Source organism: Homo sapiens, chromosome 17 (genome assembly GCF_000001405.40).
Source record: "Homo sapiens chromosome 17, GRCh38.p14 Primary Assembly".
Classification (NCBI taxonomy): Eukaryota; Metazoa; Chordata; class Mammalia; order Primates; family Hominidae; genus Homo; species Homo sapiens.
Genome location: NC_000017.11, coordinates 39,027,809 through 39,054,543, shown reverse-complemented (window position 1 = coordinate 39,054,543; position 26,735 = coordinate 39,027,809). Strand labels below are relative to the sequence as shown.

The following is a 26,735-nucleotide window of genomic DNA, read 5'->3' as shown; positions in this document are numbered from 1 at the left end:
AGCCTACAACAATGTTATCTATAGGAGCAATTGGGTAGGTTTGAAATCTTGTGGCCTCTGGTTACATAATTCCTGAGCTATAATATCTAATCTTGTGGCTAATTTGTTAGTCTTACAAGGGACGTCTGATTCCCAAGCAAGGAGGTGATTTGTTTTAGGAAGGGATTATCATCTTTGTTTCAAAGTTAAACAATAAACTAAATTCCTCCCATAGTCAGCTTGGCCTGTGCCCAGGAATGAGCAAGGGCAGTTTGGAGGTTAGAAGCAAGATGGAGTCAGTTAGGTCGGAATTGTCATAATTTTTGTAAAGGCAGTTTCAGTAACACAAGAGGGAAAGTGGGTCCTACTGCTCTTTACTTTAATCCTAGAATGTCAAAGCCAGATGAGACCCTGCAGGACAAGTCTCTTGTGGTTTCTAAATAATGGTCCTCAGACCCATGCTGTGATGAAGTTTCCACCCCTACTCTACAAAATGAGGACAATATGGAAAATATAATTAGGTTTTTAATAATTTCATAAAATAAAATAGATTCCACTCCATTCTCCTACAAGTATGACCTCCCTTTATAAAAAGATGCTGATAAATAGAGGATAGTTGGATAAATATAGTTGCTTTAATGCTCTTACTTGGATATTATAATTAAAAATTTAAAATCTCAGGTTTAATTTTTTTTACACTTTATGACCTGTGAAAAACAAAAGTCTAGGAACCACTGAATAGTCAAATCTCTCCTTTTATGGTAGAAGCTGTTAAGGCTCAGAGGTAGAGAAACGAGGGGTCCAAGATAAAACCCCAGCTTGGTCAGACACTACTGATGGTGGCTTTATGCTGGATATTCCTTCAACTGTCGCTGTTCTGCCTTTGCCTTTTCTTTAAACATGTTCTACTCCACATCAGCACCCTCCAAGCAAACCAGATCCTGTTCAGAGAAGCCTTTTTTTAAATCATCTAGATCCTAGCCTATTCTCCCAAATTACCCCCAAATCATTGTCATCTGCTACTATTTCTCCATCCCATCACTACTTTCTCCACCCCAACACCAGACCCTTAGCCTCACCCATTGCCTACTTCTGAGCTTTCTGTTTTACTTCAAAAATTGTTCTTCGGAGGAATTTTTGGACGCCAATACTGTTTCAAAGCAATAAATACGGATTTTATTATACATTTAATAATCTCTTGTAATGTTTGTGGATGTCTCTGCTTCTCCACCTAGATTATGAACACCTCAAGAAAAATAGTTCTATCTTCCTTCTCGTACCTAGTACACTCCTACTGTCTTATGTACTCAAATATACATAGAATTAGTAATGAATAAATTGACACATTCTTTGCAGAGTGAATGCTTTAATATTTAAAAAAAAAATAGAGATTTGTTTATTGTGGTCCTCTTGGTTTGCAAATGACCAACAGGAACCAGGGGACTGGGTCCAGATGGGAGCAAGGAGGAAGCCAAGAAAACCATTTATTCCTGGGGCTCTGGTCAGTTTTACTTGTAAATGGGAAGGGAAGAAAATAACATGAAGTGGAGGCAATAGGAAGAAGAAATGAAGAATCCCTGAGTGAGAACAGGAGTCTTGGACTGACTCCGTGGTGCACACACACCCTGTTTCATCTCGGGCAGCATCCTGTCAGCCAGTAGGAGAGTGGCCGGCCCGAATAGTGCAACCTCCATTCTACCCTGTGGAGAAAAAAGACATGGTTCTTGCCTCACACTCAGTAACTTCTCCACACACGTGACCCAGTTCTTGCTGAGTCTCCCATATAGAGCAATGCCCAGAACCCCCTTCATTGCTAGCCCTCTGGCCTTTCCTCCACTGGCCTTCACATAGAATAATAATCTCCAATCTCATCCAGGTCACTGCAAATGCTGTCAATTCATTCCTTTTTAAGGCTGTGTAGTATTCCATTATATACATATACCACAGTTTCTTTATCCACTCGTTGATTGATGGGCATTTGGGTTAGTTCCATGATTTTGCAATTGTGAATTGTGCTGCTATAAACATGTGTGTGCAAGTATCTTTTTCAAATAATGACTTCTTTTCCTCTGGGTAGATACCCAGTAGTGGGATTGCTGGATCAAACGGTAGTTCTACTTTTAGTTCTTTAAGGAATCTCCACACTGTTTTTCTTAGTGGATATACTAGTTTACATTCCCACTAGCAGTGTAGAAATGTTCCCTGATCACCGCACCACGCCAACATCTGTTTTTCGATTTTTTTTTATTATGGCCATTCTTACAGGAGCAAGGTGGTATCACACTGTGGTTTTGATTTACATCTCCCTGATCATTAGTGATGTTGAGCATTTTTTCATGTTTGTTGGCCATTTGTCTATCTTCTTTTGAGAATTGTCTATTCATGTCCTTAGCCCACTTTTTGATGGGTTTTTTTTTTATCTTACTTTGTTTGAATTCATTGTAGATTCTGGATATTAGTCCTTTGTCAGATGTATAGATTGTAAAGACTGAAAATCTGGGGCTATTTCTGTCACTGAGGGAAGGTATGTCCTTCCCCTAAACTAGGTGTATGCTGCTGAGGGGGCAGAGGCCTGAATTCTTCCATCCACCGCCTTCAGGTGTCAGGCGGTTTCTGCTTGGACAAGATGGCTACCCTGGTGGGCTTGTTTCCTCTCTGGTCTCTTGTTCTGTCTCACTCCACAGTGGCCTGAGCTTGGGGCCATTCTTTTGCTTTTCTCATCCTCCTACCCCCAGAGCTAACAGATTCAGCAAATAAAATTTACAAGATCCCCTGTTAAATTAGAATTTCAGGCAAACAACAACTGACTACCCCACACTAACTCAGGAGGGTCGCTCAGAGATAGGTGTCGCTGAGCCTCGGGAAGCAGGAAGCTCCATCCTTGCCCATTAAGCCCCCTCTCGGGGTCCCCTCAAGGAAGACAGTGGCTCCAGAAGGTGTGTTCGCATCCCCTTTCACAGCCTACCTCTCTCCCATCCCTCTCTGACCCCGGGTTCCAGCTGGCCCAGGAATTTCTGGGAGGACCAGTAGAACAAGGCCATCTGCAGTAGGAGCCTCCTCTTCCTCGCCACCTACGCTTCAGCCCTGTCTAACTAATAGCTCTCCGTGTTCTAAAGAAGGCGGGAGTGCCGGGCCACCCCAGCCTTCTGGAACCCTAGTTCTGTAACATCATCCATCTCCTGGAAATACACTGGTTTTAACCATGCAAATTGGCCAAACGTCAGGCAGAAATAGCAGCTGGGCCTGGAAGGACAGGTGACATCTGTGAGGAAAATGGCCAGGCGGGACAGAGTGGAGAGCACTGACTCTTCCCTTCCTGTCTGAGAACAGCACTGCCTTTGGGGGAACTCCTTCCCTCATGGGGCTTTAGCGGGGGCTGCCAGTCCCAGGGCCCTGTCCCCCGCCACTCCCCCCATAGGCATAGGAATGCTTGTGTGCCAGTCACTACATTTGGAAGTGGAAGCAAGTAAAGCTGCTCAGCTTCTCACAGGAAGCCTGTGGGTGCTGGGCCAGAGTACACAACCCATCTGAGGCGCTAAGCCTCCGTGAAGAGGGAGTAGAGGCTGGATGGGATTCTAGTCCCACGGTTCACCCTTTCTGGGACCCAAACACACCCTTCCCCTTCCTTCAATTCTGAGGTTCAAGAAATGTCCCTACTCACAGAACAGGTTTGAATTGGGTTTCTGTCACTTGCAGCCAAAGGAGACCTGCCTGTTATGGTTGGCATCGGGTCAACCATCTGTGAAATGGATGACCTGACAACCTGTCTCCTCCCAGTGAAGGCCACAACATCCCAACATCATTAGTTACCAAAGAAGTCTGGGACGAATTTCTACCAACTGTAGCAAAAAAGGGGCAAGACAGAAGAAATTTTGTTACTGACAGACCACTCTTCCCTCTGGAACAGGGCGGCAGGATCTGACAGAAAGAAAGGACAAGGGGCTTCTAAGCTGGCAGTGCTGCCCTGTGCCCCTCCAGACTTCTCTTCCCAGCAGGGCAGTAGCACATGGCACCCTGGGATAGGAAGCCTGCAGGGGTTGTGGGGAGGCTGAACATCCTGGGGGCACCACTTTATGAGGAACCATTTGTGGCCAAAAATCTTCAGGGGCCTCAGATGACCTGAATGAACTCGTCTCTGGAGAGTGAGAGTCCCAGGCAGAAGGAGAGGTTTCCATAGCCCAGGACCACATGCTGGAAATTGGTTTCTGCAGCATTCAAAGGGGTACCAGAGGGACCCTCCACCCCAGCCCCACAGCTGGGAAAAACATGAGCCCTGGGTAGATTCCTACCTATTCAAAGAACTGGAAAACCCAAGCTGGGGCCTATGAGTCAAGTCTGGACGTGCAGCTCAGGGCAAGAGGACAGATGGATGCCACAGGCCATCTGTCTCAATATTTGCAAATTATAAATTAAACTAAAAGGCTGTTAAATAAAGTACATTCTATTCTGATCCTCTGACAAATATTCCTTTAAAATTATTTATTTTTATTTTTTAGACGGACTTTTGCTCTTGTTGCCCAGGCTGGAGTGTAACGGCACATCTCGCCTCACTGAAACCTCTGCTTCCCAGGTTCAAGAGATTCTCCTGCCTCAGCCTCCCAAGTAGCTGGGATTACAGGCGCCCGCCACCACGCCTGGCTAATTTTTTGTATTTTTAGTAGAGATGGGGTTTTGCAATGTCAGCAAGGCTGGTCTCAAACTCCTGGCCTCAAGCGATCCTCCTACCTTGGCCTCCCAAAGGGCTGGGATCATAGGTGTGAGCTACCACATCCAACTGGAGCTGACTTTTAAACTGTATTTAATTTGTATTAATTTAAATTTAAATTTATTTTTTGGGACAGGGCCTTACTCTGTTGCCCAGGCTGGAGTGCAATAGTGCAATCATAGCTCACTGCCACCTTGACCTCCTGGGCTCAAGCTAGTCTCACACCTCAGCTTCCTGAGTTGCTGGGACTACAGATGCACACCATCATGTTTGGTTACTTTTTTTTTTTTTTTTTTTGAGAGACAGAGTCTTGCTCTGTCACTCAGGCTGGAGTGCAGCAGCACTATCTCAGCTCACTGCAAACTCTGCCTCTCAGGTTCAGGCGATTCTACCTCAGCTTCCCAAGTAGCTGAGACTACAGGCGTGCATCACCATGCCTGGCTAATTTTTGTATTTTTTAGTAGAGACAGGGTTTCACTATATGTTGGCAGGCTAGTCTCAAACTCCTGACCTCAGGTGATCCACCTGCCTCGGCCTCCCAAAGTACTGGGATTACAGGCACAAGCCACTGTGCCTGGCCAATTATTACATTTTTAAATTTTTTTGTAGAAAAATGGTTTCACTATGTTGCCCAGGCTGTGGCCTCAAGTTATCCTCCCACCTTGGCCTCCCAAAGTGCTGGGATTACAGGCATAAGCCACCCTGCCTGGCCTAAATTTATACATAAGTAGCCATATGTGGCTAGTGGCTACTGTATCGGACCACACAATTCTGTACAGCTAATGCACAGCACACAGTAGCATACTATACACGCCCTCCTACATCTTGCTTTACTCCCTTAACAGCACCTATGTATTCTGGAGACAGATTGCCCCAGTCTGCCCCCCACCTTTATTTTTTTTTGAGATGGAGTTTTGCTCTTGTTGCCTAGGCTGGAGTGCAGTGGCGCTATCTCGGCTCACTGCAACTTCCGCCTCCCGGGTTCAAGCAATTCTCCTACCTCAGCCTCCCAAGTAGCTGGGATTACAGGTGCCTGCCACTATACCCAACTAATTTTTGTATTTTTAGCAAAGACAGGGTTTCTCCATGTTGGTCAGGCTGGTCTCGAACTCCCAACCTCAGGTGATCTGTCCACCTTGGCCTCCCAAAGTGCTGGGATTACAAGCGTGAGCCACCTCACCTGGCCTAGTCTGCCTCATTTTTAAAAACTGCTGCATAATATCCTCTTGTAATCTACAAAGGCAATCCCTCACCCAGCCTGGAGAGCAATGGGTCATCATGTTTTTACAACAAGCTCTAAAATCTTCCACATATACCGTAACCAAGACACTTCGAAACAACCCTAGGTTCGTCACACCTCCACTTTTGTCGGCCTGAGCCTGAGATAGTTTGACATTGAATAGTCAATTTTAGGGGCTGGGGGAGATAATTTACCATGAATCACTGCTCTAAAATATACTCTTCACCCATGAGGCCCATGCCTGGCATTCAGTAGTGCTGGTGGCATTCTTTAGAGTTAATCATAGTTCTAAGTGGTTCTCCTTTAAAGAGCAAAGTCTCCTGAGAAAGATGGCCATTAAGACAAAACATCTGGGGCTGCTCTTGCTTTTATCCTGATGAGAGGGGCCAAGGGGCTTTGTAGAGCAGCAGGGGCTCTGACGGTGAGCCTCACTATTCTTAAAATTGTCCTTAAGAGGACAGGTGCTTTGGCTCATGCCTGTAATCCTAGCACTTTGAGGGGCAGAGGCAGGAGGACTGCTTGAGTCCAGGAGTTTAAGACTAGACTGAGCAACACAAGGAGACCCCGTCTCTACAAAAAAAATCTTAAAAAAAATTAATTGGGCATGGTGGCACATGCTTGTAGTCCCAGCTACTTGGGAGGCTGAGGTGAGAGGATCACCTGAGCCCAGGAGCTTGAGGCTTGCAGTGAGCCAAGTGCACCACTGCATTCCAGCCTGGAAGACAGAATGAGACTGTGTCAAAAAAAAATTGTCCTTAAGTCCCATCTGGATCCCTAGACAGCCTTCCTCTTAGGGCATTTCAGGTGGTGAGCCTCTTTCCAGCTTTAAATGGCCTTTAGAGTAATTTCACTAACCTGCCTTGGTGTTTGGCTCTGTATAAACCCTTTCTTCTGGAGGGCAGCAGTAGACATGGGATTTGGTGGTCTGACACATCTGGGGACAGATCCCAGTTTCAAATGGCAGAGTCTGTTTACAGCTTACAGGGGAAATACTTAGCACTATGTGCTGATCTTTAGGAAATAAGTCTATGTTTCTTTCTTTTTTTTTTTTTTTTTGAGACAGAGTCTCTGTCACCTAGGCTGGAGTGCAATGGCGCAATCTCAGCTCACTGCAACCTCCACCTCCTGGGCTCAAGCAATTCTCCTGCCTCAGCCTCCCGAGTAGCTGGGATTACAGGCACATGCCACCATGCCTAGCTAATTTTTGTATTTTAAGTAGAGATGGGGTTTCACCATGTTGCCCAGGCTGGTCTTGAACTCCTGACCTCAGGTGATACACCTGCCTCAGCCTCCCAAAGCACTGGGATTACAGGTGTGAGCCACCACGCCCAGCCCAGTCTATATTTCATAACAAGTGTTGCAAACAAATGCTTGTTCCTCAGTGCTGCAAAGAAGAACCAGCACTTAAATAATTTTCTCAGCAAGGCAAATTTACTTTCTGCAGAAAGGGTGCTTCTTGGAAGCTGGACTGCCACGAGAGCACACTGAACAAAGAAAGGCAGGAGTTCTTATCCCTGACGCACTGGGCTTCTACTGCTGTGTCCTACCTCCACTGGTTGGAGCTGCACCTCACAATCTAAACTGATCCCGACTGGCTAAAACCTTGAAATTTTCCTAAATAGGTAAAGGTGCAATGGGAAACAAAGGAAGGGAGGGGACTTTTTACAGGAAACTAGGAAGGCAATAACATTTCCAAATAAGGAAGGGGCATAGGCTGCAAGCTGGGACATGCCTGGGCATGTTCAGGCATGTCTGGACAGACTTAGGGAAAAAATGAGATAGGCCTTGGTTACAATATAAGAACACAGAATATACTCACTCTTTTACTCCATTTAACAACTACTTGGGCTTAACAAAGAATTATTAGTAGAATAAAAGATCTGTTAGTGTGAGATATGAAAAGCTGTGGAGATTTAAAAGAAATATTTAAATAAATCCCTTTTATTCAAAAAGGTGAACTTGAAGAGGCACTTATCTTTATCAACAAGTCACATGGGGATAATGAAGGAATGGCCTAAAATGCTCTCCTGAGTCATCCCTGAGGGCCAGGCTTGGTGTTAGGCATGGTGGGGAAGGGAGTGGGGTTGTGTGCAGAGGAGGACATGATTCTTGCCTTGTCAGGGTCCCTGACCTGATGGCGATCCATGTTGTCATGTTCATAGTGACAGACACCACAGCAAGAGCAGACCCAGGTTGTGCAATCCCCAAAGCAGAGCTCCTCACTCACTTGGATAGATAGAACTATTGGCCTCAATTCCTCAGCCCTCTTAGTACCTACCGCTTGCCATGGTTTCGTTGTGGGTGGAGGATACTTTCTTGCCCCGGCTTCAGACTTGCCCATGTGGCTTGCTTTGGCCATGGAATGAAGCAGAAATGAAAGCCTACCAGTTCCAAGCCCACACCTGAAGATATCTTAGGCGGTTCTGCGGGCCCGCGTGTGCTTCCACCTTCATCCAGATGCACTTCTCTGGTGCAGCAGCCGCTTCTTCAGCTTTGGCCCAGAAGGAACGGAGCCCCCTGGTGGATCCGCAGGCCTGCAGGGAGCCACAGAGCACGTCCAGCGTTCACTGAGGGGATGACTGCGTGTCACCCGCTGCCCAGCTAGAATGACACCTCTCCAGGCCTCTCCACCACGTTACTCCACCATAGACTCCCTGCCTGCTTCTTCTGCAAAGCCTTGGACACCCAAACACCTACCAAAAAGTGGGTAGGGTGCCAGGACACCTCCAAGTATAAGTGGGGCTCCCCACCACGCCTAGATGTGGAGGTATGCTGCAGAGTGGTGGCTGCTTGTGACACTCATTTCACCCCTGTCTGTGCAGGTGACAGAAGCCCAGGAACCACACGTCAAGTCTCCTTTGCCAGCAGGGTGCTGCCAAAAAAATGCAGTCATGTAAAATTTGGAATATGGAAAGGAGGTAGAAGTCATCCTTTCCTCCCGGCTAGCAGCAGACATGCAGGCTCTGGTAGTCAGCTGGACTCCATATTCCCCCATCAGTCACCAGCCTGGGGACCATGGAGCTGGAAGGACCTCAGCAGCAGTTTCCCAAGTTTGCAGAGGCCTGAGGCCTGAGGTCCTCCCAGGGGACCTCACACTCCTCCCGCTCAGCAGCCAGACGACTTTCTGGTTTGAGTTTTCTCTGTTGGGGCTTCACTGCCCCTGGGATAGGAATTAAAATGCCAAGCTTGTTGATTCTTGAAAGGAGCAATTCAACTTTTCACTCCCTCTTCATTTTAGATGGGAACCACGAAGGCTCTGTCGTTTACTCCACGTCCTTGTGAAAGATGTCATCCTTGTTGGAAGACTCCTTGCCGTGAGGTTTCTGTGCCATGTTTTTCACGCGTGCAGCACTGGGAGGTCTGTACATACCCCTAAGCCAGAGTGGCTGTCTTAACTAGACAAAGCCATCCTGGAGGATAGGGAAATATGCATTTTGCATGTCCTCTGCTTTCTCTGGCCACAGCAATGAATCCTCCAATGTACCTGAGTTTCAGTTCGCCATGAGCATCTCCTATGTGGCAGAAATCTGAAAATGCCTCCGGGGAGACACGTGGACAAGACAGTGAGTGATGCTGCCGTTCCCACGCCTCTCACAATGTACTTCTCTGGTCTTATTAGGACTAAATGAGTACCTCAGTCCATAGTAACAGTGATTAGAACCACTGCAGACCACATACCTGGGGTCTTGAAAATAATTCCAAGCATGCGGGACTTTCAGAAGCTCTCCATGTCTGTCCAGAAGGGCCCCACAATGTCTCGGGGAGACTTTGTATGTGGCTCAGCATGGAGCCTGAGCAGGATTTTCAGCCCCACTCACCCCCTTGGCCAAGTGCTCTCGTGCAGTGAACACCCATGCTGGGCAGAAGCATTTTACATCAGTCCTCTTCGGAGTTAGTCTCCTTGGCATCATTTGATGGGGGGTGGGAAATGAAGTAGTTCTTGGCTAACTTCTTGGCCCCTGCACCATGTGAGGCTGTTCCAGCTCCCTTGGGGCTGGACTCCTGAGCCTTTTTTTCTTTGGCAGTGTTCTCTACAAATGCCCGGGCATCCTGTGATCCGCCCGCCTCGGCCTCTCAAAGTGCTGGGATTACAGGCGTGAGCCACCGCGCCGGGCCAAGGTATAGCCTTTCTACATTGCAGAGTCATTCAGTTTCCAAAATTATGGAGCTTGTATTATTAGAACCAATGAAGTGAGTAAGAAAATTTTTTAAAATAAGCCATCAATCCGGACCTGTGTAGGTAAATGAAGGAGAAGCACTTTAAAGTCAGGGAAAAAATATGTACATACTTAACATTTAGTATTATCAACCACTGCTGGTTTTCCATAGACCATTTCATTCCTGATTTCATCTGTAAGAGATATGATTATTGCTACCATTCAGAGGGGGACTTTGATTGTTAACTGCCTGGTCCTCCTTGCTTGGCGCCCTGCAAACCAATGTGCTCCTTTCTCCCACTGCAAAACCTCAGAATGGTTTGGCTTTACTGTGCTGGGCCAGTGGACCCCAGTTAAGTCCGCTAATAAGCTCTTGCTATATCCTTGGGATGGGTTTCAAATTCAAAATAGACTGACCCTACCACACCGCTAACTCGGCTGATCAGTATTTGTCAATAACATAGAGGCTTCATTCAAAATTGTAATTATTGGAACCCAGGGTGATTTCAGGATTTTATGGGGCCTGAACCTTACCTATTAATAATAAAAACATGGAAAAGTATGAATACAACGATTCCCAAGGGCCTCCCAGGACCGTGCAAGTGAGAAGCCCTGATGCTGAGGCTCTATTCAATTCATCATCATTCCACCACAGCTGGGGCCCCCCCTTTTTTTTTTTAACAAACTTTTGTAATGCAATAAAATATACTGTTTCAACTTACAAACACCACAGAATAGTGTCATATCGGTCACAAAATTACTGGCAGCTTCGCTTGGCAACTTGCCTTTGGAAAGAAATGCAATGGGCATATATCTCACTGCAGCAAATGTTTCCTGAAGCAAATTAGTTCTGTTTACTAGAAAGATTCGACCCAAAACAAAGGAGCCCAGCCCCCAACATACATTTGCTGTGTTGAGACCATTGTGCCAATAGGGTCACTTGTTTCATGCCTTTTCTTGCCCATGCCAAAGGTCAGAACTAGGAAAAGCAGGGCAGGTCATATATAAACTATATAAGTTTCTTGGCCTCTTCGTACTTTAGTTTCCCCATTTGAAAAAACGAATGGATTTAAGACATGCTTTTCAGAATCCATAATGGGCTTATACCCAGCTAACCAATAATTGTATGAGGTTCTTACATGTAAATAGTTGTTTACATGTATTCATCTTCTATTTCACTTACAACTTGTGTAAAAACTGCATTCCGTGCCAGGCCTGAAAGGTTCCAAAGCTCAGTTCTGTCAGTAAATTGCAACCAAGATTCCTACCAAAAAAGACACAAGCCAAAGAAGAAAAATATGTATGTTCTTTCAGAACATGTATCACTTGCATTGATTCTAATTTATATAGGATGGAACATAACCTCAATACTTTATGCACTAAAGAAATCTCACTGTGGAAGATACTGGCTTATGATTTATACTTTAACATTGCACATGTGGTGCATTAGATACAAAAGAGTGAATGCTCAGTAAATACTTATGTTAAGTGATCTTTATTTCTGTAGGACAGGATTTCACAACTTCAGGGCCATCGACATTTTGGACTATATAATTCTTTGCCGTGGGGGTTTGTCCTGTACCTCGTAGGATATTTAGCAGCATTCCTGGCCTCTGCCCACCAGATGCCAGGAGGACACCACAGTTGTGACAACCAAAACTGTCTACAGACATTGCCAAGTGTCACCTGGGTGCAAAATCACACTGGTTGAGAACCACTGCTCTCTGATGATTCACTATGATCTCTGTAGTAATTCTTACACTAATCTTTCCTAGAGACAAAGAGGATTTGCTGTATAATTTTAGTAACTTTCTACTTTTAAAATTTTAATCATATTTCAAAATGAATAGCAAAGAGGTTTATCATTAAGTTTTATTAAAGTTCTAAATGTAATCGAGTTATATTTGTAATTTACATCAACTGCAAAAATGGTAGTGGTTCAAATGTATGTCTTTCAATAGGCTGTATTTTATTGCAGGATAAATCTCTAGGAAAAGTAAAAGGAAAATATTGCCTTGATTAGTTATTAGATGTCAAATTAGTAGGAATAAATAGGAAGGGTTTAGAGTAACATTGAATACATGGTTTTCGTCTAAACTCTAAATCTTTAGACTTGTATTTGAACTTCCCAGAGTCCCTAACCCTGCCAGTACCTCTCCTAGAGTCTCACCTTCATAGTTTTAATAAATAAAATATACAACTATAGATCTTGATAGACTTTGGAATTAATTTTTCCTGAGAGCAGTAGACTTGATTAGATGACCTTTTGTAGTCTCATCAAATCCTAGATTGTAAGCTCAAAGTTTTTATCCTTATATATAGTTTCTGATATTAAAAGGAATAGTCTCACCTTCCTAGTTTAGGTCTGTTTTCCTAAGCCAGTTCAATATCAGAAGAAATAAAAGACATCCTTTCACATCATCTGAAAGGAAGTTACCCCTTTAACTAATACATAACTTTGAACTAATTCAAATCATATTAATATAATTAATTTCTGTCATATTAATATAAATTCTTTTTTGGTTTCATATTGCTTTAATATTCCATGAAAGCAATTTCTTCACTTATACAGTGATGGGGCAACAAAACAACATGGAACTAGATTTTTATTTTTCAAATAAAAACGGTTGTAGTCAACACCCATTCTTGACTCCAGTTAACTCTTACTTCCATTGATTCCAGCTTGTCAGCTTGTCCCTCCCTCTTTACCTGGATGGTGTAACGTTGTCTGGCTGATGTCTCCATCTCTAGTCTCTCCCTTCCTAAACCATCCTGCACACAGTCATCAGATAAACTCTCCAGAAGTGGCTTGCAAAGATCAGCATCTCCTAGGAAATTACTGAAGATGCAAATTTTTGGTCCCACTCTAGACCAACTGAATCAGTAACTGCGAGGGTAGAGTGCAGAACTGAGTTCTAACGCGACCTCCCAGTGATTGTGATGCAGCTCTATCTCACAGCACTGCTGTGATAACACTGGTCCGTATGATGGCCCCTTAGCTTGACATTCAAAGCCCTAGAAGATCTGGCTCCAATTTCCTACTCTCCCTCCTTGTACTCTACAGGTACTCATGGTATTCCTCAAATACTTTCCTGTGATTTGCCCCTCTCCCATTTTCCTTTTGCAAGTTTAGAATCTTTTCCCCAACATGTTTGTCTGATGTGACGCAGCAGCCCTTCAAAGTCCTATTCAAATGGCATTGTTCTAGTAACATCTTCATGGGTCCAAATTGAAGTCAATCTCCTCTCTTCTATGCTCCAGAAACAATGTATCCCTCCTAGTGCCCACATCCATTTCTTCTTTTGAATGTACTTATTTTTCATCCCATTTCTTCTGAGCATAAACTCCTTGAAAGCATGGACTAGCTCTTGCTCATCTGCGTTGCCCACCATGTTTAAAACTGACACATGGAAATAAAATGAACTCACATATTTATAAAATAAATGAATAGCTGGGGCAGTGAGTAGAAGGAAAATGACTATTTTAAAGGAAATATAGTTTTATTACTTCATGGCCTCTGTAGCGCTTTGGCATCCACCTGAGGGTCTTTACACCCACTTTCCTTAAGCCTTCTACATTTGAAAGAATCTGTCTGCAAAAAAGCATCACTAATGAGCTTAATGAGGATTAATGACATACACACCTCTAAACCATGGGCAAAGGATAAAAATCCAGCTTTCATAGCAATGAACATAGTATCTTCTTATCTCTAAACAGACAGAAATACTATGCAGGTATCCCTTCCTTGGTAACAGGGCTGAGGACATAGTTATTTTGTAATTAGTGAAGAGTTAGGGGCATTTCTGATATGCTTACTTACTATAAACACTCTAGCTATACCACTTAACCATCATTTTAAACATCTGTTTTAATATAACAATTCCTGAAATGAAATCCTTAATACCAGGCTATTCTTTTGGTAGCTTAATATTCTTGATAATATTATTTATATAATTCAGCTGCTTATTATTTAATATATAAATGTTAATTTAATTTAGATTAAATTATCAAAAAATTCTGGATTAATGATATTCAAATTAATGTAGGTAGTCTATATTTTCTTCTCCTTTAGGCAACAATCTGAAGTTAACTTTAATTCCTTTCATTCTACTAAAGCAACTTTTTCAAATCTTTCTTTTCTCTTTTTTTTTTGACAGAGTCTTGCTCTGTCGCCTAGGCTGGAGTGCAGTGGCATGATCCTGCAACCTCCGCCTCCCGGGTTCAAGAGATTCTCCTGCCTCAGCCTCCCGAGTAGCTGGGATTACAGGCGTCTGCCACCATGCCTGGCTAATTTTTGTATTTTTAGTAGAGACAGGGTTTCACCATGTTGGCCAGGCTGGTCTCAAACTCCTGACCTCAGGTGATCCTCCCACCTCGACCTCCCAAAGTGCTGAAATTACAGGCGTGAGCCACCGTGCCCGGACCCAAATCTTTTTTGGGAAGGTCAGTTGGTAAATATTTTAGGCTTTGTGGGCCGCATGTGGTCTTTGTTGCATATTTCTCTTTGTTTCTTTTCTTTTTCTTTCCCAGTCCTTTAAAAGTGTAAAAACCATTCTTAACTTAATGGGCTATTTAAAAACAGACTGTAGATTAGATTTGATCTATTGGTTGTAGACTGAATATAGGAAGATGAGATGTGAACACTTTTTATAAAACAAGGTTCATATGGGTGTCAATCACTGCTCAGATCTTATTACCATGTGAAATTCTTTTCTGTCTGTATTCTGTCTATATAATTAAAAAATTGAAAATGCATAGAAGGTATTAATGCTAGAGATGGGCTGAGACCCTATACAAACTTACAGAATTGCAGAATTGTATTGCTGAAAGAAATCTTAGAGATTATCTAATTTGAACCCCTATATTCATTTTACAGATAATATGACTAAAAACTAATAAATATGATTAACTAACTAACTTACAAATACTGGAGGGATAGCAGGCCCTTCAAATGAATCCCTATGTAATTTAGTCAAATAATTTTCATTGAGAATTCTGGAAAATGAAAAAGTTATTTTCTAGATCAAAATGCAAACTACAACTATTTGCTACACAGGACTAACTCCTACATGTGGAGGAAATCTGGGTCATGATAATTTCAAGATGGTGGTATCTGCTCTGCTTTCATTAAAAGCTTTTCTTACATTTTCCTTTTTGTGTCCATCTGTCTCCACCACCACCACCACCACCACCACATACACACACACACACACACACACACACACACACACACACACACAAGCACACCCCTACCCACTCTTCCCACCAAATTGTATATTTAATGCCTCCTCTCTAGATCACAAAGTCCCTGTTAGAATCCAACTCTGGGTGGCACCAAGATCAGCAGAACTTCCATTTCCTCCTCTCTTTTCCCAAACCTTGTTATAAAAGCCCCACATGGAACTATGTCAGGGCTGCAAGTGAAGCCATTTGACTTTTTTCTCCCATTAAAAATATTTGAGAACTACAATGTGCATAAAGTGCACATAACATAAATGTTGTTTTTATTTTATTTTATTATTTCTGAGACAGGGTCTCACTCTGTTGTCCAGACTAGTCTCAAACTCCTGGGCTCAAGTGATCCCCCTGTCTCAGCCTCCCAAAGTGTTGCAATTACAGATGTGAGCCACTGCATCTGGCCAAATATTCAGTTTAATAATTATAAAGCAGATACCCATATAATATCATTACGAAAGATCATTACTAGCATCCCAGAAGCCCCAGGTGTGCCCCTTTCCAATCACAACCCCCTCTCTAACCCTTATAGATATCCACTATCCTGACTTTCGTAATAATTTTCTTGTTTTTAAAATGTAGCTCTGGCCTGACACAGTGGCTCACGCCTGTAATCCCAGCACTTTGGGAGGCCAAGGCGGGTGAATCACCTGAGGTCAGGAGTTCAAGACCAGTCTGGCCAACATGGTGAAACCCCATCTCTACTAAAAATACAAAAATTGGCTGGGCATGGTGGTGGGCGCCTATAATTCCAGCTACTTGGGAGGCTGAGATGGGAGAATTGCTTGAACCCAGGAGGCAGCGATTACTGTGAGCCGAGTTTACGCCACTGTCCTCCAGGCTGGGCGACAAGAACAAAACTGCATCTCAAAAAATAAAATAAAATAAAATAAAATAAAATAAAATAAAATAAAATAAAATAAAATAGTAAAGTAAAATGTAGTTCTGGCTGGGCACAGTGGCTCACACTTGTAATCACAGCACTTTGGGAAGCCAAGGTAGGAGGATTGCTTGAGCCCAGAAGTTCGAGACCAGTCTGAGCAATACAGCAGGACCTCATCTCTAGACAAATTTTAAAATTAGCTGGGCATGTTGGTGCACACCTGTAGTCCTAGCTACTGGAGAGGCTCAGATGGGAGGATCGCTTGAGCATGGAAGGTCCAGGCTGCAGTGAGCTGCATTTGCACCACTGCAGACCCTGTCTCAAAAATAAATAAAATAAAATAAAATAAAATAAAATAAAATAAAATAAAATGTCGTTTTACCTATTATATGTCAGTCATAAACAACATATTTTAGTTTTGCCTACTTGAACATTATATAAATGAAATCATATTACACATATTATTTTCTGTATCACTTCTTTCACTCAATAATCTGTTTGGACATTTAAGATGTATGTTGCTGAGATTGATTCATTTCAAGGCCTGTGTTGTGCTTCCAATAAGGTAGTCACTAGCTATATTTGGCTACTGTTAGTGACTAGTGTGACTGAGGAACTGAATCTTTAATATATTCATTTTAATTATTTTTAAATTTAAAAGCTGATACTCAATGTAGTCATTAGAAAATTTATGTTTGCAACAACTTGGGTATATGATGCTACTTTTTCAACTGCAAATTTTACAAAATCTAAATATAGACTAAGGTGTTTTGTTTGTTTGTTTGTTTTGAGACAAGGTTTCACTCTGTTGCCCAGGCTAGAGAGCAGTAGCACAATCACTGCGTACTGCAGCCTCGACCTCCCAGGCTCAAGTGATCCTCCCACCTCTGCCTCCCTAGTAGCTGGGACTATAAGCACACACCATCATGCCTGGCTAATATTTTTAATTTTTTGTAGAGATGTGGTTTCATTGTGTTGCCAGGCTAGTCTTGAACCACTGGGTTCAAGTGATCCTCCTGCCTATGCCTCCCAAAATGCTGGGATTACAGGCATGAGCTACCTAACATCCAGCCAGGTTAAGTATTTTTATTATTATTATTTACTTGTCTCCCTAGACTGCTGAGCAGAACAGATTAAGGTTTTTTTTTTTATAAAAATTTAGCAACCAAATTAAGACTTCGAAGACTTAGTATGGAAAAAAGAATGTAAACTCCCCAATTAATTTTTATACTAACAACATGTAGAAATGATACCCCTTTGGATATTTTGAAGACTTAGTATGAAAATAGAATATCTCATTAATAACATATATAATGACTGCATGTTGAAATGAAAATATTTTGGATATAATATATTAACATGTTTCACCTGTTTCTTTTTTAGTTTTATTTTTTAAGTGACTACCAGAAAAGTTAATATTATGTATGTGGCTTGCATTATGTTTCTAATGAATAATAGAAGTATTAATAATCCTTCCATTCAGTATTACACACACATAATACTTTTAATAAGTATTAATAATACTTCTATTACTATATAAAGTATTAACATACTTCTATTATTATATAATAGAATAATAGAGTATTCCATTATATGATTCTACTGCAATATATTGATTCATCTACTGGGTATGGATACTGAGATATTTCTAGTTTTTAGTTATTACAAAGAATGCTGCTTTGAACATTCTTATACTTGTATCCTGATAGTACTTTTGCCTGAGTTTCTCTAGGATATAATAAGGGCACAAAATTGTTTTCCTAAGAAGTGGTATTTCAAGTGGCAGATTGAAAACATGCCAAGTCTCTACCCATCCAACCTCTAGCAAATCTCTAAAAATCATAGAACAGAAATAATTTAAAAATCCACAAACTTAGCTCAAAATGTGGAAGCATCTCTACAAATGATCCCCTGTCAGAAATGCCCAGGAACTACCTACAAGTTATTGGTTGGGACAGTGGAGTGGGAGAAGCCAGAGGCACATCAACCACATATCTTTCTTCCTTGGGCCAGGCAGCAAAGAGTGTCTTCCTCCAGGCAGGAACAATTGGTGTTAGAAAGGGGGCAGGGTCCTGGAGCCCTGGAGGAAGGGTGTACACTCCCTTACTAGCCATCTCCCACACCTTCTTGTTATCAGGAGACTCCATCTGGAACACAAGCCGCAGAATCCCATCTCTCCTCTAGAGCTAGAAAACAGGATTGTCTGGTTCTAGCATTTTTTTTTCTTACCAATAAGATATCACACTAAGGGTGAGGGAAACTACTTTAAAGTGGTCATAATTCCTCTTCTTAGATGACTATGATTGTCATGTGTTTTATTTTTAATTTAGAGCTCGTGTATAACTTGTCTATGTAAGTTGAACTAATAATGTGACACACAAACTGTTGTAAAAAATGCCAGTTACTGCCCGGGGGTGGCGGCTAACGTCTATAATCCCAGCACTTTGGGAGGCCGAGGTGGGCGGATCACCTCAGGTCAGGAGTTCAAGACCAGCCCGGCCAACAAGGCGAAACCCCATCTCTAAAAATACAAAAAAATTAGCGGGGCATGGTGGTGCGCACCTGTAGTCCCAGCTACCCGGGAGGCTGAGGCATGAGAATCGCTTGAACCCGGGCAGTGGCAGTTGCAGTGAGCCAAGATGGCGCCATTGCACTCCAGCCTGGGCGGCAGAGCGAGACTCTGTCTCAATTAAAAAAAAAAAAAAAAAAAAAAGCCAGTTACTTTGAATGTGAGCATTTTTTCCAAAATCATTTATGTGTCGAATTCCTTCTATAAATCAATGTGAAAATGATTTTAAAAATTCAACGAGATCATGAACAAAGGACAGAAAACTCAGAGAAGAAACACAAATGTTCAATAAACACATAAAAACATTTCATTAAATTCATAAGTAATCAGAAAAATTCAAATTTAGATGGGATACCTTTTATTCATCCATAACATCAACAAAAAGTTGGAGAATAGCCAGTGGTGAAAAGGTGTGGGGAAATGAATGCTGTCATACTCTGCTGACGATAGTGTAAGTAGGCACAACATTTTTGACGGCAATTAAAATTTCATATCTACATAGGCTTCACTCCAACAATTCCATTTCTAGATATCTATTCTACAGAAATACTTGCCCATGTTCACAAAGAAGCATGGATTTCATTGCAGCAATGCATGTAACAAGAAAACTAGACATAATCTAAACATCCATCAATGGGGGAACTATTAAATAAACTATGATACATCCATACTATGGAATATTATGCAGGAGTTTAAATGAATGGGGTAACCCTCTAAGTACTGGGAAGGAAGGAAATCTAAGACACATCATGAAGTGAAAGAATCAAGTTGCAAGATGTTACCATTTATGTAAAGAAAAAAGATTTTTAAAACCACACAACAAATCTATTTTGCTTTATGTAAATATGTATGTAGGCAAATGGGAAAAAGTCTGGAAGGTTATATACTAAACACAGAGTGTTACCTCAGGGATGAGGGAGTAGGACACAAGGAAGATTTTTGTTATAGCTGTTATTTCATTTTTATACATTAAGAATATAATCATGGGCTGGGAGTGGTGGTTCATGCCTGTAATCCCAGCACTTTGGGAGACCAAGGTGGGAGGATCACTTGAGCCCAGGAGTTTGAGACCAGCCTAAGCAACATAGGGAGACCCTGTCTCTACAAAAAATAAAAAATTAGGTGGGAGTGGTGGCATGCACCTGTGGTTCCAGCTACTTGGGAGGCTGAGATGGGAGGATCACTTGAGCCTGGGAGGTGGAGGCTGCAGTGAGTAGTGATTGCACCACTGCATTCCAGCCTGGGGAACAGAGTAAGATCCTGTCTCCGAAAAAAAAAAAAAGAAAAAAGAAAAAGAAAAAAAAATACCCATGTATTATTTGCATAATAAAAATAAATTTAAATTGACTCTTATTTTAAAGAGAGCCTACCAAATTTAATTTTAAAATTACCACACGATTGCAATCAACAGAGGTTCATTTGGGGTATGGAAGGGAAACATGTTTTCTCAGAGGTACCGACCTCAAAATTCTGTACCAAGAAGGATCTTACAATGCAGTTAGTTTTTTGTCATATTTGGAGAGAATATACTCACAGTTTCTCAGTCCAACTGTATGCTTTCCATACATCTTCACCAATGTAAGAAATATAGTTTCCTTGGAAATTTCTGTGAAGAAACACAGTTCATATCCTTGAATAGGTAGGAAAAGAATGAACAGGATAAGTAAAAGAATCATGGCAACCTTGTGGGGGATATTCAGAAACAGAGAATAACACCTGCTTTCTCATTTCCAGAGCTATCAGCTTCCCAGTTTGCACAATTAATCAAGAAATAATGTGGGACCACTGGCACAAATGAGGCATCTCCCGGAAGCTTAACTTCCTATCCATCCCATCTCTTAGACAGATAATGCCGGTTAATTACTTTGAATGTAAGGACTTTATCCAAAATCACTTATGTGTCTAAACTAACTCCTTCTACAAATCAAAAATGGTAAATACCTCAACAGAAAAATGGGCAAAAGCTTATTATTATCAACAAATAAGAAGAAAGAAACCCTATGCCGGATAACACCAAAGCTTTGGCCCAGTGCCCTCAGTTGAAACATCCTAGGCTTTTTTCTTTTCACTCCTATCACAACCAATCTGATTTAGCCCCTTCACACTTTACTCCTAGATTTTGCTAGACCTTTCTATTTTGTCTCCCTGAATTAAGCTTTCCCCTCTAGGGCATTCTACATATGGATTCTAAAATAATCCTTTGCATGTCTACACTTGAACATTATGCAAAAAATAAAATAATCCTCCCTGTTTTAATCATTTAATCTCTCTTGGTTGGAAACTTTCAATGGCTTCCCATATCTCACTGTGTAACTTTTAAACTCCCATACCTGATAATCAAGGTTTTACATAATCATTTCTTCATCGCTCCCTCGCCTGATTCTTTGCAGCCAGATTGGTCTACTAAATTCTCATCATATCTGTAGCCATGCCTTTGCCTAGATTGTACTCCCATTTTTTCCCCTATTTAACAAATTATAGCTACTTTTTAACCCCCACGTAAAGTTTTAGCTTATCCATGTAGCTTTCTCTGACCTCCAAATCTCAAGATCACAGATTTTGGTGAATTCTAGCACCGATGGTCTGCATTATCTTTTAGTACTTAATTATATATACCTCCCTTTTTATGCCTATTCTCTTTCTTCCCTCCTACCATTTTCGTGTTCTAGGGACAGTAGCATACTTGGCTCTGGGTTGGACACAAAATGAGTGCTACATATAGAAAGCCAGGGACAAAGATGAGTTCTGGACATAACTCAAAGACTGAGTAATCATGTTCACAGCCAACCCTCCTGCATATGCTAGGCACTGATGAAGTGTTTCATATATTCACTCACCTAAATTTCACAACAATCCTATGAAATGGTAACTAGCATAATCCCCAGTTTAAAGATGAGGAAATTAAGTCACAGAGCAGAATAACTTGCTCAGGGTCATCAAGCTAATAAATGACAGCCCTGGGTTCAAACCCAGGCAGCCTGGCTCTAGAATCAACTCTTAACCATTTAGAGCATCATCACTGAGATGGGGAGAGGGACAGGCTGCTGTGAAGAGGGTGAAGCGAAAATGGGAGGAGAGCAGCGGTTAAGCAATGATGCGATGGGGCTAAATGAAAATGGACAAGTAAACAAGTAAGAGCAATCACAAGTAAAAGACTGGAGAAGGGGCCTAATAGTAAAGGAGAACGACGAGAAAGAAGAGATTACCGGCAGAGGTGAAAGCAGAAAGTTAGTTGTCAGTATAGCTTGGGGAGATAAAGAAGGCCCAGGAAGGCCTCCAGGAAAAGGCTGCCATGTGAGGCAGGACACAGAAGACAATGGAGGAAAGGTGATTCTTACAAGATGGTGAAGGTGCCATTGTAGGTGTTGGGCTCTGGCACAGGCACTCAGCGGAGCCTCTGCTTTGGGCTGAGATCGATACACGACAGCGTCTCATCTCCGCAGGTACAGAGATCACATATGTTGGTGCTTGTGGAGGCCTTCTGTTCCTCTGGTGCAGTTAAAGCCTTATTTTGGGCGTAATTTTCAGACTGCACCAGTGAATCCTGAGTAGGTTCTAGTTCAGTAGGTGGACCTGTGACTTCAGTCAGGTTTCGATGCTGAGTCTGAACCTGGTCTGGACGTGGAGCTATAGTCTTCTCCAGGGCTGTAGAATATCCAATCTCTGTAGTGGGTTCTGGAGTGATGGCAAGCCCCAGGTCTGGAGACTGAGTTGAGGTCTCCTCCGTGGTTGGAGACGGTTTAACATCTATAGTAGGTTCTATAGTTATGGTAAGCTCCAGGTCCAGAGGTTGAACTGTGACTTGAGTCAGGTTTGAATGCTGAGCCTGACCCTTGTCTGGCGGTGGAAGTGTCACCTCAAGGTGCTCTGGAGGAGGAGCTGTAGTCATCAGGGCTGTAGACGGTTCAACCTTTGTAATGGATTCTGGAGTGATGGTAAGCCCCAGATCCAAAGGTTGAACTGTGACTCTGGGTGATGTTGGATGCTGAGCTTGATCCTGGCCTCGTGTTGGCATGGACGTCTCATAATACACAGGAGGTTGAGCTACAACCTCCTTACGTAGCTCTGGAGGCTGAGTTGGGGTCTTCTGCATGGTTGGAAAAGGTTCAACCTCCATAGTGGATTCTGGAGTTAAGGTAAGTTCCAGATCCAAAGGTTGAACTGTGACTTGAGTCAGGTTCGAATGGAGAGTCTGAACCTGGTCTGGATGTGGAAGTGTCACTTTAGGGTGCTTGGGAGGAATCTTCTTCAGGGGTGTAGAATGTTCAACCTCTGTAGTGGGTTCTGGAGTGATGGTAAGTCCCAGGTCCAAAGGTTGAGCTGTAACGCTGGGTGACATTGGATGCTGAGCTTGATCCTGACCTGGTGTTGGAACTGTTACCCCTTGATATGCTGGAGGTTGGGGTACAACTTCCTTAGGAGGCTAAGTTGGGGTCTCCTGAATGGTTGGAGAAAGTTCAACCTCTGTCATGGATTCTGGAGTGATGGTAAGCCCCAGGCCCAAAGGCTGAACTGTGACACTGGACAGTGTTGAATGCTGAGCTTGATCCTGACCTGGTGTTGGAATTGTCACCTCATAATGAGCTGGAGGTTGAGCTGCAACCTCTGTAGGTGTCTCTGGAAGCTGAGTTGAGTTCTTCATGGTTGGAGGAAAAAAACATGGTTGCGGAGTTGTGGTAAGTTCCAGGTGCAAAGGTTGAACTATGACCTGTTAGGTTTGTGTGCTGAGCCTGAACCTGGTCAGGAGGTGGAAGCATCACCTCAGGGTGTTTTGGAGGAGCTGTAGTCTTCCTTGGGGTTGTAGAATACTCAGCCTCCATAGTGGATTTTGGAGTGACGGTAAGTCCCAGGTCTAAAGGTTGAAATGTGACACTGGGTGATACTGGAATCTGGGCTTGGTCCTGGCCTGCTATTGGAATTGTCATCTCATGCACTGGAGGTTGAGCTGCAACCTCCTTAGGTGACTCTGGATGCTGAGCTGGGACCAGCTGCTGGCTTGAAGGTTCTACCTCCATAGGGGGCTCTGGAGTCTGAACTGTGGCCTCCTGCTGGATTGGAGAAGGTTCTGCCTCCATAGGGGGCTCTGGAGTCTGAGCTGGAACCCCCTGCTGAGTTAAGAGATGGTTCCACTTCCTGAGGGAGCTCTGGAGGTGAAGATGGGGCCATCTGCTGGGTCCGAGAGGGTTCTATGACCACAGGGGCCTCTGAGGACTGAGCAGGGCCTGCCTGCTGAACTGGAGAGGATTCTACCTCTTTAGGTGGCTCTAAAAGCTGAGTTGGGGTCTGCTGTAGGACTGGAGATGGTTTGACCTTCTCAGGTGGCTCTGATGGCTGAGCTGGTATCTCCTGCTGTGGTGGAGGACTGACCTCTTCAGTGGACTTTGGAGGCTGACCTGAGGCTTGCTGCTGGGTTGCAGATGGTTCAACCTCCTTAGGGGGCTCTGGTGGCTCAGCTGGGAACTCTTGCTGGACTGGAGAAGGTTCTACCTCCTTAGGGGGATCTGGAGTCTGAGGTTGGGCCTCTTGCTGGGCTGGAGAAGACTCAGCCTCCTCAGGGGTCTGTGGATGCTCAGCTGCAGCTTCCTGCTGGGTTGGAGAGGGGTTCTCATTATTAACAGGTTCTGGAGATTGAACTGAAGTCTCCTGTTGACCTGCTAAAGGTCCAGCATCTTCTGATGACTCTGGACGCAGAGGTGCACCACCATGCTGGGTGGCAGAAGGTTCTACATCACTTCCTGGCCCTGAGACCTGAGCTGTAGCCTCCTGGTGGATTGGAGAACTTCCCACCTCTGCAGTAGGCTCTGTTGCTATAGTGAGCTGCATGTCTGGAGGCCTAATAGTGACATTGGGCAAATCTGAATGCTGAGCTTGACAGTGACCTGGAGGTGAAACTGTCACTTCATGATGTTCTGGAGGCTGAGCTGGGGCCTTCTGCTGGGCTGGAGAAGATTCAGCCTTCCCAGAAGAAATAGAAGGCTGAGCTGGCTGCTCCTGCTCACCGGGGGAACGTTCAGGTTCCACAGGAGGACCTGGAGGCTCAGTCGGGGCCTCCTCCTGGCTCGCAGAAGGTTCCACTCCTCTGGAGGCTGAGCTGGGGCCTCCTGCTGGGCTTTGGAAGATTCAGTCTCCTTGGTAGGCTCTGAAGTTATGGTAACCTCCACATCCACAGGTTTAACTGTAACGTTGGACAAGTCAAAAGGAACTTCATCCTCACCTGGAGGGTGAATGGTCACCTCATGATTCAGTGGAGTTTGAGCTCCACTCTCCATAGAAGACTCTGGAAGTTGAGTTGGAGCCTCTTGCTGGGCCTCAGAATGTTCAACCTCCCAGGAAACACAGAAGGCTGAGCTGGCTGCTCCTGCTCACTGGGGGAAGGTGCACACTCCATAGGAGGACCTGGAGGCTCAGCTGGGGCCTCCTCCTGGGTTGCAGAAGCTTCCACCTCCTCTGGAGGCTGGGTTGGGATCTCCTGCTGGGATGGAGAAGATTCTGCCTCCTTGGTAGGTTCTGAAATTATGGTAATCTCCACATCCGCAGGTTTCACTGTAACGCTGTAATGCTGGGCAAGTTATAATGAGCTTGATCCTCACCTGGAGGGTGAACTGTCACCTCATGCTTTGATGGAGTTTGAGCTGCACTCTCTGTAGAGGACTCTGGAGGCTGAGCTGGGGCCTTCTGCTGGGTCTCAGAAGGTTCAACCCCCCCACCCCCCACAGGAAACTCAGAAGGCTGAGCTGGCTGCTCCTGCTCACTGGGGGAAAGTTCAGCCTCCACAAGAGGACCTGGAGGCTCAGCTGGGGTCCCTTGCTGGTTGCAGAGGGTTTCGTCTCCTCAGGGCGCTCTGGTGTCTGAGCTGGGGCCTCTAATTGGGTTGAGGAAGAGCCCACCTCTTTGGCGCGCTCTGGAGGCTGAGCAGAGGCCTGTTCCTGGCTTGACATAAGTTCCTTCTGGCTCTGGAGTTAGCGCAAGCTCCACATCCACAGGTTTGACTGTGACACTGCGCAAGTGTGAGTGCTGAGCTTCACTCCAACTTTTCAATGGAACATTTACCTCATGATGTATCAATGGCAGAGCTACAATCTCTTCAGAGGCAGGTAGTTGCTGTGCTGGGGCCTCCTGCTCTGTTGAAGAAGAGTGGACCCCCTCAAGGCAGAGCTGGGGCCTCCTGCTGGGTTGAAGAAGGTTCTGCCTCTTCAGTGAGCTGTGGAAGCTGCTCTGGGGCTTCTTCCTGGAATGAAGAGGACTAGATCTCTTCAAGGGTCTCTGGATTTTGAGTTTCAGGCTCTACATGGAATTGAGAAAGTCCAACTCTCTCAGGGGGCCCTGGAGGCTCATCTGAGTTCATCTGGAGTTCTGGAGGCAGGCTGCTGCGATACACTGTATCCATACTTGAATCTAAATACTCATCCTGCAAAGTTTGTTTCTGACACTGAGGTTTTGATACAAATAGGTGTGGAGTTCCACACAACAACCTTAGCAAGCTTCAGATACTTAGCTAGATCTTTGTTCAGGTTCTTGGGCGAAACAGTAAACTTGGTTGCTTTTGAATTCTATCTTATTTATTTTATTTTGTTTTTTAATTTATTTTATATTTATTTATTTATTTTTTTTTTTTTGAGATGGAATCTCGCTTTGTCACCCAGGCTGGAGTGCAGTGGCACGATCTCGGCTCACTGCAACCTCCACCTCCCGGGTTCAAGCGATTCTCCTGCCTCAGCCTCCCGAGTAACTGCAGGCGCGTGCCACCAAGTCCTGCTAATTTTTTGTATTTTTAGTAGAGACGGAGTTTCACCGTGTTATCCAGGATGGTCTCTTATCTCCTGACCTCGTGATCCGCCCGCCTCAGCCTCCCAAAGTACTGGGATTATGTGAGCCACCGCGCCCGGCCTGAATTCTGACTATCTAGAGGTGGAACAAGTAAAGTATTTAATTTGCCTGATGATCTGCAGCCTGATCTAGATCTGCAG

At 43.8% G+C, this 26,735-nt stretch overlaps 1 pseudogene across 1 annotated transcript, besides 1 other annotated feature; it reads right to left on the bottom strand.

Moving 5' to 3' along the window:
- Positions 1–1,338: 1,338 nt before the first annotated feature.
- On the bottom strand, positions 1,339–24,638 carry LRRC37A11P (leucine rich repeat containing 37 member A11, pseudogene; annotated as a pseudogene). Its single transcript, NR_033753.2, has 5 exons — positions 22,107–24,638; positions 20,303–20,374; positions 11,265–11,345; positions 9,603–10,156; positions 1,339–1,679 (listed from the first exon to the last, which is right to left on the bottom strand). The product of NR_033753.2 is annotated as a leucine rich repeat containing 37 member A11, pseudogene (transcript).
- Positions 7,269–8,468: an enhancer, noted in NCBI's record as "MED14-independent group 3 enhancer chr17:37202329-37203528 (GRCh37/hg19 assembly coordinates)". NCBI's record gives its function as "activates an origin of replication core promoter dependent on BRD2, BRD4, P300/CBP and CDK7 cofactors, and independent of MED14, by STARR-seq in HCT116 cells {active_cell/tissue: HCT116}" and the evidence as "EXISTENCE:reporter gene assay evidence [ECO:0000049][PMID:35650434]".
- Positions 24,639–26,735: the final 2,097 nt, after the last annotated feature.